General features: G+C 39.6%; 2 annotated features.

Moving 5' to 3' along the window:
* Positions 13,676-14,176: an enhancer, noted in NCBI's record as "H3K4me1 hESC enhancer chr12:68313920-68314420 (GRCh37/hg19 assembly coordinates)". NCBI's record gives its function as "activates a minimal SCP1, AML or CMV promoter by ChIP-STARR-seq in naive H9 embryonic stem cells {active_cell/tissue: H9 hESC(naive)}" and the evidence as "EXISTENCE:reporter gene assay evidence [ECO:0000049][PMID:30033119]".
* Positions 14,177-14,677: an enhancer, noted in NCBI's record as "H3K4me1 hESC enhancer chr12:68314421-68314921 (GRCh37/hg19 assembly coordinates)". NCBI's record gives its function as "activates a minimal SCP1, AML or CMV promoter by ChIP-STARR-seq in naive H9 embryonic stem cells {active_cell/tissue: H9 hESC(naive)}" and the evidence as "EXISTENCE:reporter gene assay evidence [ECO:0000049][PMID:30033119]".

Below are 18,699 nucleotides of genomic sequence, written 5' to 3' on the forward strand. Positions count from 1 at the left end.
GTCATCACCATGAACAATAGATTTTTTTTTGAGAGATCTCTTAAATGTATTCCTCCTAACTGAAATGTTTTGTCCTTTGTCCAACATCTCCCCAAACCCCCAGCCCCCAGCCTTTGGAAACCACCATTTTACTCTGTTTCTATGAGTTTTACTTTTTTACACTGCACATATGAGATCATGTGGTATTTGTCTTTCTGTGCCTGGCTTATTTAACATAATGTCCACCAGTTTCACCCATGTTGTCGCTAATGACAGGATTTTCCCTTTTTAAGGCTGAATAGTATTCTATTGTGTATATACCACATTTTCTCAAACAAGAGAGTGAAGAGACAACCTACAGCATGGGTAAATATACTGTATTTGTAAACCATAAATCCGATAAGGGGTTAATATCCAAAATATATAAAGAACTCAACTCAATAGAAAACAAATAACCCAATTTAAAAATGGGCAAAGGACCTGAATAGACATCTTTCAAAAGAAGACATGCAAATGGACAACAGGTATATTAAAAATATATATTCTAATGATTATCACTGGTGGGTGGAAAAGCTTTTTTTTGTATATTGATTGTGGATGCTGGCTATTTGATGAACTTCTTAAAGCTGTAATAGAATTTAAGCTAGTTGTCTTAGATTTTCAAGGTAGATGATCCTATCATCTGCCAATTCTTTTTTTCTTTCCATTAATTAAACCTCATTTCTGTTGCCCTATTTTGTTGGTGAGGGCCATCGGGATAGTGTTGAATATCATGAGAGTTAATATTGCTGTTTTAGATAAAACTGAATCTAATATTTCCTCATAAGTATGATGGTTTCTAAAGATGTTTGCTATAGCCACTCTATATTAAACCAAGGAATTTTTCTTATATTTCTAGTTCTTAAAAGGCTTTTATTTTCCTCTCTCCTATAAATGGGTTTTATATTTGTTTGAATTCTCTTTTTTTTTTTTTTCAGCTTTCTTGGTATAATTACCTGGTTTTCTTCATTTAATTCACTGAATTGCCTTCATAGATTTGCTAATGTTGGAGCATCTTTGCAAGAATTAATGTTGATTTATTTTAAATGTCCTGCTGAATTCAACGTACTGAGTTTTTTAAAATAGAATTTTTGCACTTATCTTTATGTTTTAAAACAAATGAAATTGTTTTCTGCCTCATGGCCTGTAGCCTGGTTAGTTCCTCAGCTAAATTTTTTTCCCTCTGTTCTTTGAATGCCTCACTCCTTCTATTTAGTTCTCAGATTGAAGGTCAACATTTTTGCTATCACTTCTTGATTTTACTGTTTAATATTTCCCCCACTGCAGTGTTCCCTTACATATTATTCTGTTTCATTTTCTTCAGGGCACACATCACTGTTTAAGCCATTTTATTTATTTGTTCACTCATTTATTGTCTGTCTTCTCCAAAAGAATGTAAGTTGCATGAGGGCAGCAAGTGTTCATTTAGTCTACCACGTTGACTTCAGTGTCTCCACATTGAAAACACCACGTACACTAGATGGCAGAAGTTCAGAGGCATGGGCTTGGGCTTTGGTGGTGAACTGTGTGGCCTTATGCAAGTTATTTAAACTCGCTAAGCTCCAACTCTATAATATATAAAAGGGGAATAATAGTAGTCACATGACACATCTCTGGAGGGATTAAAGGAGACAACATATTTTAACAAATTTCAAGAGCTAGGATAAATTAGCTGATCACTAAGTGTTAGTTTTCTTAACTCCCCCTTTTCCCTTAAGATTGTAATAAGATACCAGGAAAAAGGAAATAGCGCCTAGGAAAATGCTGTGTGCAATCAGGTATATATTCTGGCAGAGAATCTTTGTATGCAATTAGGCAGAGCACTCTGCCGCTATTATTACAGCTCAACACATTGGTTTGAAACAGCTTCACTTTTTACTGAGATAACATTTTCACATGGAAATTTCAGTGAATGTTAGCCTTCAATATCTGAGTTTCTAATTCTTTCAGCAGAGTTTATAATTTTCCAGAATGCCCCTTCTTTTAAGGTGTTAGTTACAATGTAGGCTATTTCATGAGCATTTTCTAACTCCAGCCTTTAAGACAGAATTGTAAAGCAAGAGATAGAATTCTGCAATAATTTACTGGTTGATTCCCAAATTTCAAACTTTAACATAGGTGTCAGAACAATAAGATGATTTATGATTATGACTGACAACACAGGTTGCTCTTATGCATGTATCTATTCAGGAGCCAGTTATATTTTTCTAGCTGAAAAATCATCTTTAAAGTTGTCTTGAGGGGTCTGAGTATCCCCCGATTGCCATGACACAGCAGCTGTTTTGCTCTCAGTTTCCTTGTTTCAGTTTTTCCATCCACTTATTGAGTTCCAGGTTGTATACCTGGTGCACACCCGCACCCAGGCAACTTACCCTGTAATTACTAGCAAATTACCTAAAAGTAAATAAAGAGCCTGAAGTATTGAGTTAAAAAAGGTAGCTCCACAAAGTGATATTACCATGACCCCTTTCTGGATTTGGCTCTTGATATCGCTGACAACTTTTTCTTGAAATTCTCCAAAGTATGTCACTCAGTTGACCAAATGGACAGCAGAATGCTTTAGGTGTTTTCATACTTTCCAGTGGCACAGCTATGCCTCATCCAATGGCAGTGGATATTCGCCAAAGTGTCACTCTTCACCAAAATGTGCAAAAACATAATAAAAAATAAAATGATGTAATCTCATTGGAATTTGTGCAGGCTAAACAACCGTGACTGTGCTAAACCACCTATATAAATCATATTTCAAAGCATAAACTGCACATTCTCTCAATTTAAAAGAGCTGAATCTGCATTAAAACCTCAAATGGTCCTGAATTGAGGCCTCATTAAATAGAAAATTCACCAACTAATGCAGGTCAAGAAACCAGTTTGCTTAGGCAACAAAACATTTGTGGCATTTCTCTCCTGTATGAATTCGTGCACGCTGGAAAAGGCAATGATTCTGGTTGAAGGCTTTCCCACATTCATTACTTTTATAAGGTTTCTCTCTGGTATGCATCTGACTTACATCATGGGAAAGCTAGTTTCATGACTCCTTTGGAATAGTTGTGGTCCTGAATATGGAAAATCAATTAATGAATAGCTTAAAGCACAATAGTCAACAAATAGATGTGAAAATTCTTTGTGAACTTTAAAGTCTTACTTAAACGTGAGATATTATATACAGTGTTTTATGTTAGACTGTGAGCTTGTTAAAGAAAGAACTATGCCTTCTTTTTCTTTCTACCAGTTCCAGTGCCTCGTACAACATAGAAACCATAAGTGTTTTTGAAAGAGCAAATGAATATTGGAAGGAGTAAGGTGATAGCTAAAGCTAAAACAATGTTTAGGGAGAACAACTGAAACAAAAGCAGCATTTGTGTCTTAAACTCATGGCCTCTGAAACAGCCTTGATAGATAGTAGAGAGGGTCAGATAGAGAGAGCCTGACTCAGAGATTGGGAAGCCCTATATGGTTGGAAGAGAAAGTAAGAGGAGACCCAAAGTATTAGACCACAGAAAGAAGTTCTAATAGTCAGTGTCAAGAGATTCAGCAGGAGGTTGTGTATCAGGATTTGGGTTTGGGAGTGGTATGGAGCTTACCTATCTCTAAAACGAGCAGGAGGGCAAAAATGAATCCCAGTCCCAAAGAATTCACTAATGGCCAGCAAACCAACACAGGAACCCCAGCACAGACACACAAGATAGGAAACCAGTTGTTGAAACTACAATGTAACGGGGCTGATTTAATAAAAACCTGTTACATGAGTTATAGGTTTTTTTTTTTTTTTTTTTTTTTTAATGTATGTGCCCCACCTTAGGAAAGCCAGAAATAATGGCAACGAAGAAATATTCATTCACAGTGAGAAAGCCATTAGAACGTTGGCTGGAACCTAGGGGCATATCGAGGGCCCACGTGGGAAGGACAATGACAACTTGTTTAGTCCTCACTGGTTTCCCAGTCTGTGGATCTTATTTGAATTATCCAAGTCATCCAGATAATGGGAAATAGAGAATGTGAATCTTCCATATTGTGGTATTATTAAAGAGCATTAAGTAACGAGCTGGTAGGTTCTTTACCTCTTATTCATGTATTACTCAGAAATGCCTCACTTTTCTGGAATTCCAAATCTCTCAGCAATCATATTCAAATGCCATCCCTTTTACTAACACACATATAAAGTGGTGATAGTTTTTTTTTTTTTTTTTTTTTTTCATTGAAACCTACACTTGGCCTCTGGAGACAACTGAACTTATTTATAGCAGTGCAGGGATTCATTTTTAAAATTACTTTCCCATGTCGTCTATGACACATAAAAAAGAAAGGCGTGCTCTGAGCCAATTGGGATAGGGATTATGTATGGCATATGTAGCAACTGCTCCTCTCTTCCTGTTTTGTACATGTGTCCAATAGAGGAAGAGCAGCTGCATCATTTGTCATTAAGTATTAGGCAAGTAAGGGCTTTGTCTGGGGAGAATGACACAGAATAAACATTTCCCACCTTGGAAATAAATGTCTCCTATTGGCTTCGATGTGTGTGTTGATAAACGATTTTCGATTGCCTAAGGATTTCTCTGCTAATGGGAGGCCATTACTTTCTACAACGTTCAACAACACTGATATTATCCCGCGATGCCAATGCATTTGTGCTCCGTGGCAGTCATGGAGACTGAAAGTGCCTGCGAAACCAATGTGTGACAGGTCACATTTGCAATGCCAGTGCACAGTTACCCTCTGCAGAGCTTTGCTCTCCTGGGATACTTCTATTCTTAACTATTCATCGGAATTTAATTACTAGCAGACTTTTCATCCTGAAAGTTGCCACCACCAGCTAATTTCAACAATACAAGAAGCCCCAGTGTCATCCAAGAAGGCCACCTTATACAAAGTACCTAAAATAGCTGCAAGGTTCTCAAGTGAGTATTCATAGTAAGAGAAAAGAGTGCACGCTGGCCAAGTTAGAAGTGGGATCCTGGAGCCAGCCTCTCATTCTTGGCAAACAACGCAAATGCAGCAGGCCTCTCTGTGATAGCAGCGTGGCAGCGAATGAACAGCTCCTTCTCTCCCTTTAGAAAATGTTTAGGGCCATCGTTACAGAACTCTTTTCAGGCTTCAAGTTTTAATGTTCTGGTGGGAGAAATGAAAGTATCATTTCCCAACACATTAGAAAATGCCTAAGGTACACAGATAGGATGGGCTACCTGTTTGCCTTATTTCGTATATCCAGCCAGATTGTCTACATATTGCCTTCTGAACATACCTTCTACTCTCTCCTTTCCAAATATCTGCTTCCTTTGATTTCTGCCAAATGAAATGTTTGCCCCACCACCCTGCCCTACGACCATCCTCTCTGATAAGCAAGGTACTCAAATAAACTATATCTTAACAAATAGTTACCCCTGTAGCATGATGTACTTTCAATTGGAGAGCAGAGACCAAGGAAGGAAAACGAGATTTCAGGAATCATGCACAACATAATGGACCAAAAGAAGACAATGGCAGAGAAGTGAAGGGAGAGATGCCAGAGGGCATCACTCAACAGTACTCTTACTGTTCTAGGGACACTGATAGATGGACCGCATGATGTACAACATAAGACAACAACAAGGTTATGTGGATAAATTCTATAGTAAAATACACTTAAGAAACAGTAGTCCAAATAATTAAAATACATTTATTTTCTGCAAGATTTCCCAGAGCCTGATGTGTGTTGTTATTCTCCAAGAAGTAGATACATTTGACCCAGGATTCCCCCTCCTCCCTTTTTGGTAATAACCTCTCTTAGAACTAATATTCCATGGCACACGGGTTTTAAAAGAGTTTCTCAGAAAAAAAGGAGAATTAAGCATATGATAGAAATGAAATGGTTTAAATCTCGGGATGACTGAAAAATATGTACATTCTACCCAGATAAATAAATATATATATATATATATATATATATATGAATCAAAAGTTGGGTAAAATATAAATTAAGTAGGATAATATATGAATAAAGGGATAGATTCTGTGTGATATCTCTGTCTTGACCTAAGGACAATGACATTGTTGCTGGTTTATAGGGTTTTGGGGGGTAGTAGGGCACCCAACTGAAGGTATTGTGCTCTTGCTTTTGAAAATATGTCAGTGAACTTTGTGCACTACAACATGGCTTATAAGTCCTTTATGATCTGCATCCCGTCTCATGCTACTTTCTCTCCTTACTCCCTTTGTTCTAGTCACCTTGACTACATGCAGGTTTTGAATAACTCTCTCATTTTGGTGCTATTGTGTTGCTGCATCCCTGTCTAGAACACACCTCCCAGCCTTTTTTCCTGGATAACTCCCAGTCATCATTCAAGTTTCAATGTAGATGTTTCTTTCTCCAGGAAGCTTCCCTACTCCCTCTGCCAATGAATCAAGTCCTGCCAGACCCCCACCAGGTGCTCCCATTGCCCCTGAATGCCCATCACATTCGATTACAGTTGCTGCTGTGCCTGTCCATATTCCCCACTAGATAGTAAGTTCAGGGAGGGGACTGATCTCAGTCATACTCTCAGCCCCCAACCTCATGGCACAATGAAGCCACCCCAAAACTGTTAATTATCAATTAATTAATCATCTAGTGCAACATCTCTGTCAAGTTACTCCAAGAAGATAGTGTGATGGAATGGGGCCCTAGCACCTCCCCCCAATACACACACAGTGACAAGAAGCTTAGCCCTGACAAGCTTATGCTAGCTTCTATCAAAGGACTTGAGGATTTTTTCTCTTTATTCTGCTTCTTGAGGTTCAAAGTCCTCCAACTGATTACAATTCAAAAGTGGGACTTTTAGGGTAAGGAGAAAGTTGTGATATAGGCAATGTACACAGAGGTTGACAGATTGACCAATTCATTCATCTACTAGCATGTAAGCTCCATGAGACCAAGAATGAAAGTCAGTCCATCTGCAGCAGTGTGTGAGCAGAGGAGTGGCAGGATAATGCTGGAGAAGGCAGGAGGAAACTGATCACACAGGGTCTTGTAGACTAGTAAGGATTTTTGTATGAAGTACCAGGACACAACTTTATTATACAGGGCTTTTAATGTTAAAGTTTTATAATGATCACTTTTCTCATTCTGTAATTCTTCCTTATTTCTATCACCAGCCCAAAAAGAGAAGCAATTCTTTCTTCTTCTTTTAGTGCTTCTGTTCATTACAGAAGCAAAAATATTCAGGCTATTTTTTTCTTTCCCTTGAATTAAGGCTGGAATATATGCAGGCATCTCTTAATATGTTATATCTCTATTCAGTCTCGTTTCTGATGCCCCCAACATACTCCATCAGAAAAATCAATCTGAACTTCAGCTGAGGACAGAGTTAAAGCTTTCCCTAGGATCATGTGTGGTTGGATTGGGGGTTGAAGGTAGGTGGTGGTTATTCCACATGCCAGGGCAAATGAACATGAGATCCAGCCCACTAAGAACTACCTCTATCATTATGTATCCAGGGTATTTCTAATAAAAAGAATGAGGAGAAGCTAGAGAAAGATAATTTTATCAAAAATCAGAAATTAGATAATTACCACAATTAAGCACTAAATTAATTCTGAGCTTATGATTACCCAAGGCAAAAGACAGTGTCATGGGATATTTCTGTCTAGCAGAAGGAAAGATATTAGTTTTTAAGGAGAGAATAACTTTTTTTTTTACAGGTTATAAAATCAAGGACAAATTACTTATATGGAATTTAATCATAGAGACTTAGAGAAATCCAATGGAAAATATGTTTTCTAAAATATTTCACATGTATTTCTCATGGCCATTTCTTATGCCAATTCTTGATTAAAAACAATTGAGATCGTGGCATATAATTGTGGTTACATTAGAACATTTTGATGAGGCACTGGACTTATATAATCCAAATATATTACAGTTATTACCCAGAATATTATCAGATAGATGGTTAGCATTTGCTTTGGCTATCCACAAATATGTCATTCATCTTAATCAATGTTTTAATAGAAAGCTAAGATTAGGATTTCTGAAAAGTATCTCCAGTACAGATAGTCCATTTTGCTTGAAAAGAGATCTGTAGGATTTTTAGATACCAAATGATTAATCATACCTGAAAATACAATACTTTGTTGCACCAACACACAATAATCTTCCTGAACAACAATCCCTCCCTAATGGCCATATATTCAGAGGTTCATGACAGTTCATATATTCTGTGGTCTCTGCTTCCATGGGCTCACTGCCTTCCAGTCAGTTTTTCTAAGTAACTCTTACTTTTAGTCCCTGAACTTCAAACCTATTACTTGTAGTCCCTGAACTTCAAACCTATCCTATGTTCTGCAATGCATATATCTGGCTTTGCTTTCATACTGCTACCTGATCTTATTATCTTCTTCCTGTCAAATAATCATTGCATTACTAGGAGAAGAAATGAGGATTTACAATGTAACTTACAGCAGAAGGATGAGGAAGGAAATTTTCAGCACTACAATAAGGTCAAGTTAAAACTATGTGTTAGAAATCTCCCATCAAAAATGTTTACGCTATAATAGCACTATCCAATTGGAAAATAGTACAAACCACGTATGCAACTTAAAGTTTTCTGGTAACCATAATTTTAAAAGTAAAAAAAAAAACAGTAAAATTCATTTTAATAAGTCTAAATGCAATATATCCAAAGTACTATTATTTCAACATGTAATACAAATTTTTAAAAATATATTGAGATGATTCAAAATTCAGTGTGTGTTGTACACCCACAGCACATCTTAATGCATTCTACCTACATTTGAAGTCCTCAGTAGTCACATGTTACCATACTAAACAGCATAACTCTATAATATAGTATTATGCCCCTCAGAAAGCTTTTAGGTAAACCTCAGTCTACAGTCCTGAAAAATATTATGAGTGGCAGAGCTAATGCTGAATCAATATTTACATTTTATGTAATACTTAGCATGCAATTAGAGAATATATTGATTATATTATTTATTCAACAAATATTTATCAAGTCATTAAAATATGCTATGCCAGGTAAGATGTTGGTAGATCCTTTGAAGGGTACTGTCAACACTTACTTCCTGATTGTTTTACAAAAGAGTGATCAGCTTTGCCCCTTTGAAGTATACAGACATGATACAATTTAGTCTCCTTTGTTCTTCTGTGTAGAAAGAAGGACCAGGAGGCCGGGCGCGGTGACTCACACCTGTAATCCCAGCACTTTGGGTAGCCAAGGCAGGCGGATCATGAGGTTGGGAGTTCAAGACCAGCCTGGCCAACATGGTGAAATCCCGTCTCTACTAAAAATTAAAAAAATTAGCTAGGCATGGTGGCATGCATCTGTAATCCCAGCTACTTAGGAGGCTGAGGCAGGAGAATTGCTTGAGCCCGGGAGGTGGAGGTTGCAGTGAGCCAAGATTGTGCCACTGCACTCCAGCCTGGGTGATAAAGCAAAACTCTGTCTCCAAAAAAAAAAAAAAGAAAAAGAAAGAAGGACCTGGAGCCAACAGGGTGTCACCTTAGAGGCAGGCACCTGAGAGCAGGCAAAGGAATAATTCCGTCTGCTGAAATACTAGGAGAGGTTGCAAGAACACTTTGAACAGTGCCTCAGGGCTGAGACTAAACACAAAACAATAACATTTATAACATGCTGACATTTTTAATTGTGAAAGAAACTGTATATGACTTGGAAATTACAGAAAACAAAGAAAGAAATCACTCATAATTCAACAATTTCTATGTATTTCCATTGCACATTTTGATGCATTTCCTTCCATCCAGTCTTTTTGCCCAGTCCTCACCATTTATGTCCCAGACCTGACAAGTCTGAGCCATGAGAGAATGTTATGCTTGCCTTTGATATCTAACTTGTGATGATGTGAGCCCCCACCCCCACTCCCACCAGCTTGATTCCCAGGAACTAGCTGGCCCCCAGGGGTCTCCTGGCTGCAGTCTCCCAGGTAGGACTCCTGCTGTCTCAGGAATGCCCCACAACCCCCGTTTCTCTAAGCTGGCTGGCTTCTTACCTTGCACCTCACTGTGCCCCTGTGCCTACCATCCTCACAACATCACCGCTCTTCAGGGACACCAGTCTGCAGCTAATCTAACTTCACCTAGCCCAGTGAGGGGCTTCTGCAGGTTCCACTCTGAAGCTCTTACTAAGGGTCTACAGACCCAAACTCACAGCATTCTGCCAGTGATTAGGGCTAACTCAGCTCACACTCATCAGAACTCTCTAGGCATTTCTGTACCTTAGAGTATAGGCCTGACTCAACCCCTAAATGGAGGCCGCTTCATTTTCAGAGCCAGAATTAGCCTCTTCCCAGGATGACTGGACAGCAGGAGCACATGTTCCTTTATGGAAACATCTCTCACAAACAAGGCTGTGGTCTGGTTCTGTGGCCTTAGCACGATCATTACAGCAGCCTAACTATGAACTTCTCACTGCCTGGGCTAGAGTCTTGTCTTGTTTTCTGTTTCTCTTCTTTTTCCGCTTTTTCTTTCTCTTTTTTTCTTTCTATTCACCTGCCTTTCTTCTGCCTTCCCTGCTTCCTTCCTTTTTCCTTTTTAAAATTTTACTTATAGAAAATGGTATCTTAGAAACATTCTTCTGTTATAAAAGTACAATATATTCTCATCACGAAAAACGGGAAAATTCAAATAAACAAAAAAAGCAGAAGAAAAAAACCTCATGAATGTAGTATTTCCGAGCTAACTACCCTGTAAATCTAACACCTTGATTATCTTAAGAATCTGAAAGCTCAGGCACCTCAAGTATCAGAACCCTGAGATAACTCAGAAATCTGAAAAGTTGGTTGCTAAACTAAAGCTTTGATTGATAATAAATTAGTGTTATCTTAGCAAGTTCCCAAGTATAGGTAGGTATTTATGTAAAAGTTTATCATAATAATTTCACTTGCTGCTTTATTAAAGGAATTGTTAAAAGTTATTTATCATTATATAAGACCAAAACTTTGGCCAGAAAATTGGAGAAAAAAAAATCCAAACTTGAACTTCTAAGTTATACAGATGGTCCCCAACTTATGATGGTTTGACTTATGAATTTCTTACTTGATTATAATGTGAAAAATGATACACATTCAGTAGAAACCATGTTTTGAATTTCGATCTTTTCCTGGGCTAGCAATATGTCGTACAAAACTCTTACATGAGATATTTGACATTTTATTATAAAATAGGCTTTGTGTTCAATAATTTTGCCCTACTCTGGGCTAATTTAAGTCTTCTGAACACACTTAAGCTAAAATGTTCTACAGTGTAAGCTAGAATGTAGGTAGGTTGGATGTACTAAAAGCATTTTCATCAAACCATGGTAGGTTGAGGGGCATCTGTAAACTGCTACCAACAATATCATATCCACACACTTAGGAAATGTCGACGTCCGCTAGGACTTTCTCAGTCATTAGTGTTTCTTTTCTCTTTCTTTTGTGAACTACTAAAAATAATACAAAATGGGAATCAAAAAAATCTGGATTCTAGCTGTTTCTTTATTACATAGTATCTGTTTCCCAGATGTCAAATGAGGATAAGAAAATTTGTCTTAGAAGCTTTGTGAGGACAAAAATAAGACATTTGCTGTGAAATAACTTCAAAACAGTAAATCAATTGCATGATACATGGCATTGTTATTTTTAGAAAAAAATATTTCTCAACGACTTTTTACATGGTTGTTACCATCATTAGAATTGTTTTGGTGAAAAATGATACCAAACAGGATAGAATTTCTTTGCATTGCTCTACTCTTATATTTTAAAGTTTGGGGATCCAGGTGCTTAAGATTGAAGACATACCAGTGACAAGCTCAGTTTTTCCTGCAGGCACTTTGAATTCCAGCCTTCCAATTTGAACCTAACACCATTAACTTAGTTTTAGCTACCATGTTTTTAAAGGCACAAAACTCTGTTTCTGTAAATAACCTGAACAGAATGCCACACTCACACTCATACCTCCATCATTGCTTCTCATTGGCCTTAGAGACATTTCTCAGGACTTGAATTATAAAATATCATGAACAAACCGGCAAACCAAAAAATTTGCTCCACACCATTTAAAATGAAATAAAGTTAGTATTTATCATTTATAAGCTTTACAGGGAACTTTGCTAAGGAGCCAGTGACTTCCATATAGAAGGCAGTGGTATATTCAAAATTTAGATGAACGTATATGATGAAATCTTATGCAACTCTGCTAAAGTTTGGAGAACAATTTTTTCACATGATGTAGAGGACACGTGTGCTACTGAGTAGCAAGGAAATAAGTGTTTAGCAGATTTACAAATCCCATGTCTGCTCCTGCCCCAGCTCCGAGGGTCACAGCACCAGCAGGTGTATGGCTGGAGGCACCTGGTGTGGGAGCAGGCAGTGAGGTCCCCACACTGCCAGTCAGCTACAAGCATCTCCCACTGTTTCTCATTTTTCCATGATTTTCACTTCTTGGGGCTCTGTACCAATCAGGTAAAAATTACATATACCTAGTTCCTTCCCATGATAGATTCTAAAGTTAAGTGGCATGATGGCGAACATGGTGCAATTTAAAGTATGCAAAAGCCCCTGTTTTCACTCTTTCTTCCTGAATCTGTGTGTGTGTGTGTGTGTCTTTGTCTCTCTCTCACACACACACATGCACACACACAGGTACACACACACAATTTGTTCAGATAGAATATATCATACTACTCCATTCTTCTTAGAGTTAAACCAAGTGATGACCCCTATTTTAAATACATATTTAAGGTGAAAGAGAAGTCCTTGAACTATTATTGGTCATTAGAACAAGATTTTGAATGAGTTGACCAAACTACCTATTCAATCAACTTAAAGGGGATGGAACTATATTCAAGAACATTGTGATTGTGAGAAAATAGGTATAAGGTATGGGGCACTCCCAGGATAAATTCTTGGGTGATGCTACCAGGAGGTCATGCCATGCCATGGGGCCTGAGGCAGTCTTAGGACACTGGGCGTCTTGAGGTGGGAGAATGGCAGAGAGAGAGCATTCAAATCCAGGTACATAACAACCACCAGCAGACAAACCAGAAGTTTAAGCAGCCGCATTGCAATGGGAAAATCAGAAGGCCTGGGGGCCCCAGACCTAGATTTTACTCAGCTTGCATTTTCTCTATGAAAGAAATTCTGAACACTGTAATAAGCTTGTGAGTAAACAATGACTCATTAATTCAGCACTTTCAAAGAGATTCTCAGACAGGCAAAAACAATACATGGAGCCTGAACCAAAGAGAACATCTTGAACTTCTTCCAGGCAGAACAGGCCTAAATATTGGGAGGTATGTAGAAAGAGAATAAGGAGAGGATAGAAAAGAATACATAAATCATATTGCATATCTTCCTTCTTCTTTCTCCAAGACCATTAATTCAAGTGACAGAAGGTAATAAGGAATAGAAAAGGCTAAAATAAACATTAAAAGGGAAGTAAGTCACTAAGTTGAATATGCAGTCTGGGGATGTTGTGGCTGAAGGTTATGCTTCATTTGCTTTGACTTTAGGATTAATGTTTGTGGGCTTATTGAAGCTATCTAGACCCCAGACCTTTCCTTTGGTATCAGTAGACAGTACTTTATCCTTTCTCACTCGTATCGGTTAAATTAGCAACCAGTATCTTGCTCACCCTTGACTAGTACTTCTTCCATTCACTCCACATCTCTACATTCATACATGCACACCTGTGCACACACATGTGCAAACACACACATACAGATACATAACACCACAGTCAGCTTGCTTCAGTTTGCTGCTCTTCATAGCTAGCTCTAGCCCTAGAAACCTGGTTGTTCACAGCAGGGAATACAAACTGAATTGAGCCCTCCTGCCTTCTGTGGGAAAAACCACAGGGTCCCAAGTAAGGATAGATTTCTGGGGCCTAGAACACCAAGAGCTATGAGCCACTTTTATATGCACTTCGGCAGAGCTTCCAGGAAACAAGACAGCTGACAAGCACCTTAGTTTATCAAAACCAAGATAAAAATGCAAATAATGAACTTGAAGCAACAGCAGGACAAGTCAGATGGAAAAACATAACTCACCTCCTTTTCTCCACCCCACGCAGTCTTTCTTTCAGAGCAAGGCACTATTACCATGAGGACTATGCTAAGAATGTATGAGAGAAAGCAAGAGAGAGCTGTCTCAGGTGGGTACATTTACCTGGCAGATCTGCAGGAAGTGTTGCTTATAAAAGCATGGTTGAAGATTGTACCTGGGCTGATGATGCATAGTGAAGATTTTTGAGGTTTTCCCTTCATCCATTAGCCTGGCATTCGGTCACTCTCAAAACATGTATTCAGTGCTTGCTGTGTGCATAAGACACTTTGCTCTGGGGGTATGAATCAGATACATCTCTATACTCAAGGAGTTTGCAATCCAGGAGGGAGCTGAGCAGATACACACATAAATAAGATATAAAGTAGAAAGTGATAGGAGCCCTAGGAAAGGAATTTAATGAATAGAGGTGTCAGCAAAGGTTTCTCAGAAGGGTGAAGCTGAGCCCTGAGTGAGATGGGGTCCTGCCTTCCTCACTGAGGGCAGAGAATGATCAAAGCACACACTGTGGTACCAGTGCCTGTGAGGAAGCAGCTGCACCAGGCTACAGCTAATGGCATATGGAAGGATCTCAAGGAACAAGAGCTTGGGGGTATAGCTTAGGCATATATTTGAGGTCTTTGAATGACATGTAAGGATGTTTAAACTTTATTCTGGAGGTAGAACAATGAAAATCCAAAAGCCCAAGGTCAAGGCGGGTTGTGAAAGTTTAAGTCAACAAAGATACTGACATGAGGAAGGGGAGCCCATTCAGAAGCTATTGCAGGAATCCAGGTAAGTGGGGGAAGGGCCTAAGGACGAGTGGGGCTAGGAAGAGCAAGAGATGGAAGAAACAAACAAACATTGATTGATGCATGTCCCATTATTCAGAAAAAGCTGACAGCTGAAGAAGCCAGCATAGAGGGTTTTCCACATGCTTCTTGGTTTTCTCCAGCATGTTAAAGCTAGCAGCAGGGATGTGAGTAACTGGGGATGATTGGCAGTGCCTGGGAATTTGCCCTTTGTTCCAAACATACTGCTTACATAGCTCCAACTACAGCTTGGAGTAGTTGAGGTTAAGCAAAGCAAAAGGGTGATTCTAATCTTACAGGAAAGAAAGAATTAGGATTGACAGAAAATATAGTAAAGCTGCTTTGAAAGCAAAAATAAAAAATTGACATTGGGTACTATATCTCACAAATGTTTAGACAATGGACATGTTTCAGGATATTAGTGTCTTTCAGAAATATTACTGAAATGGATTTTATCTGAGGGAAGAGGGCATCTTGAAAAAAATTTGTTTTGATACAGGGTCTCGCTCTGTCGCCCAGGCTGGAGTGCAGTGGTGTAATCATGGCTCCCTGCAGCCTTGAGCTCCTGGGCTCAGGTGATGCTCACACCTTAGCCTTCTGAGTAGCTGGGACTACAGGTGTGTGCAAAACACAGTTTGTTTGTTTTTTAAATTTTTTATAGACACAAGGTCTGGCTATGTTGTCCAGGCTGGTCTCAAACTCCTGAGCTCAAGTGATACTTCCACCTTAGTGTCCCAAAATGTTGGGATTACAGGCATGATTCACTGTGTCCACCCCCAGGGTTTCTTCACCACACCAGCACAATGTCAGCAGTGAAAGGGCCTGGAAGCTGGTAAAGCTTAAAAGATACAGACTGGACCCGAGGCACTGAGTTGGTTTAATACTGTGAGCTGCAATGTGGGTGCTCACTTGAGTGTGCCATGAATGTGAAAATGCATTTCCAAGGCATCTAAACTACCCTTACCTGCCTCTGTGAAAAAATCAGTCACTATGCAGAAGGAAGGAGCTTGACATTTCTTTTATGGTAGGAATGGTTGAAGGGGTAGGAACTTGCCTCTTGGATATCCTACCAGCTAGATGTGCAGGGAAAGGCAAGCTTTTATTTTGCTCTCCTGGGCAGATCAGTTACCACATTAAACCCAAACAAAACAACCTGGAGAAAAAGATTCATGAGGTGTCAGACGTTTAATTTCCAAAGTGTACAAGAGGGGAATGTTTTCAAATCCTGTTTCACAGCCATAATTCACATGCTTTGTACTTGTATATTTCTGTAGGTTATTGGTCACATGAAGCAAATATGGAATTTCACAAGTTCTACACATGGTGGGAGGCAGGAGCAGGCTCCCAAGGTGTCAGCTTTTAATGATGTTGTATATTTAAGGAGCAATTGATGCCAGTCTAGAACCCTTTTGGCATGTGCATATGGAAGATGTTACTGGTGTGTGACAATCCAGTTTTTATGCTACTGTGTTTTGCGTGCCTACTACGTGCTAAGGTCTATATACATAATCACATTTAATCTTCACAGCCACCCCACAGGAAGTCTTATTACCCCTATCTTGCAAACAAGGGAAAAATGAGGCACAGAGAAAGAAGTGCAAGAGGCAGAGGTGGAATTTGTTTATCCAATTATTAGGCCTTAAGATGCAATCAGCATTGTTGACCAGCGCCTGGTCCCACTCTTCTCAGACACTGCATTCTCTTCCTATTTTTCTGGTTGAACCTTCTTTTGTTCTTTCTTTAGCTTTCCTTTAAATGCTGATCATTACGGATTGAGTTGCATCTTAACAAAATGTCTCTGTTGGAGTCCCAACATGTGGTACCTCAGAATGTGACCTTATCTGGAGATAGGGTCTTTATAGGGGTCATCAAGTTAAAGTAAGATCATTAGTCAGGGCTGTAATCCAATACGGCTGATGTCCTCATGAAAAGGGGAAAATCCGGACACAGACATGCGCACAGGGAGAATAGAAGATGAAGATTAAGGTAGAGACTGGGACGATGCTTCCACAAATCAAGGAATGCCAAAGGTTGCCAGCAAACCACCAAAGCTAAGGAAAGGCATTGGACAGAGTCTCCTCTCACAGCCTCAGAAGGAACCAACCCTGCTAACACCTTGACCTTGGACTTTTAGCCTCTAGAACTGTGGGACTACAAATGCCGTTGTTTAAGCCACTCAGCTTGTGGTACGCCTTGTTACAACAGTCCTAGCAAACTAATACACAGCTATGCTTCAGTAAAAGGCACCTCATGGAGAAAGACCTCTGCCTACCTCCCCAGGCTTGCCTGACTTCATCCTCATATACTAGCCACCTGCACCCCACCAAATAATTAACTTCTGCTAGTTTCCTGGACACCCCAAGCCATTGTGTGCCTTGTTCCCTTGCTATGATATTTCCCCTTTCTGGAACACCTCCATCAATGTTCCAGCTCAATTATCACCTCCTACAGGAAGCCTTCCCTCATTTCCTCCTATGCCTATCACTCAAGAAGTATTAACCACACTTTTCTCTGTGCTGTAGCTTTTTTTTTTGTACCTGGTTCTATGGTTACCTTTACACTGCATTGTAACCTGGTATTCATGGGCTTATCTGTGTCCCCTGTGGAGCTGTCAGTCTCTGAAAGGCCAGTGCCTACTTTATTTCCTCTCTAGATTCCAGCACTGAGATGATGCCAGGTGTCAGCCCTCCTTGGAAGCCTTAGGAAGGTCTCTCCAATTGCCCTACCCCAACCACAATATAGAGGACTATAAAATGAGCACATAGTGGGAGGAGACAGAGTGGTTCCCTGATTACATGTATGAACGCAGCTAGAGAGAGAATATGTCCTTCCAATGTGGGTGAGGTAGAAAAGCAGCATCTGTGACAGCATGAAGAGGAGGAAATAGGAGTTGCTGGACCTATTGAGGAATTGTCTGATAGGGAACCTAAGTTATCAGGCATCCAATCTTTTTAGTCACATTGGAAAGTAATCTCAAGAGACAGATGATTCAGGGTCCCCTGGCTCTTGGTCCTTAATCTCTGGTTTTATATAACTCCCCTTATCCTGCTTCCATGTTTCTCAGACAACCTCTCATTCCCATCTGGATCTCCCACTGAACAAGAATACGATAAGTGCATGGATTCTACGTGTTTCCAGTCCTTGAGCAGTGATTGCTCATGGCCAGTGCACAAAGTGGCTTTGGATTGTTTGGCTCCCGAGCAGTCTGACAACAACCAGAGAAGGCTTGGAGCATGTCAGTATGAGAATTTCTGGTCTGAATGACAGATACATTTGTCAAATTCAATCAATAAGCTGTCATTCTGGTAGCCATCCCAGTCTCCTTTGGGTTTTGCTTAGTGTAAACTAGTGAGTTAAATCGATCTTGGTTTGTATTTATTAGGTAAATAGTAATACTAGCACCTGAGCTGGGCGCCGTGGCTCACGCCTGTAATCCCAACACTTTGGGAGGCCAGGGTGGGCAGACCACTTGAGGTCAGGAGTTCGAAAGCAGCCTGGCCAACATGGTGAAACCCTGTGTCTACTAAAAATACAAAAATGAGCTGGGCGTGGTGGCAGGCACCTGTAATCCCAGCTACTTGGAAGGCTGAGGCAGGAGAATCGCTTGAACCCAGGAGGCGGAGGTTGCAGTGAGCCGAGATCACACCACTGCAGTCCAGCCTGAACAACAGAGAACGACCTTGTCTCAAAAAACAAAACAAAACAAAACAACACTAGCATCTAAAACAAACAGCCTACATCCTAGTATCCTAGTGGTTTAATAATAAAGGCTTATTTCTCACTCATGTCCTTACATTCCAGTCCTTACAGGGTGGGTGAGGACTTTGTAGTAATTCAGTCCTACCTCCTCATTGTGTCT

The sequence above is a fragment of the Homo sapiens genome, chromosome 12, assembly GCF_000001405.40.
Source record: "Homo sapiens chromosome 12, GRCh38.p14 Primary Assembly".
NCBI lineage: Eukaryota > Metazoa > Chordata > Mammalia > Primates > Hominidae > Homo > Homo sapiens.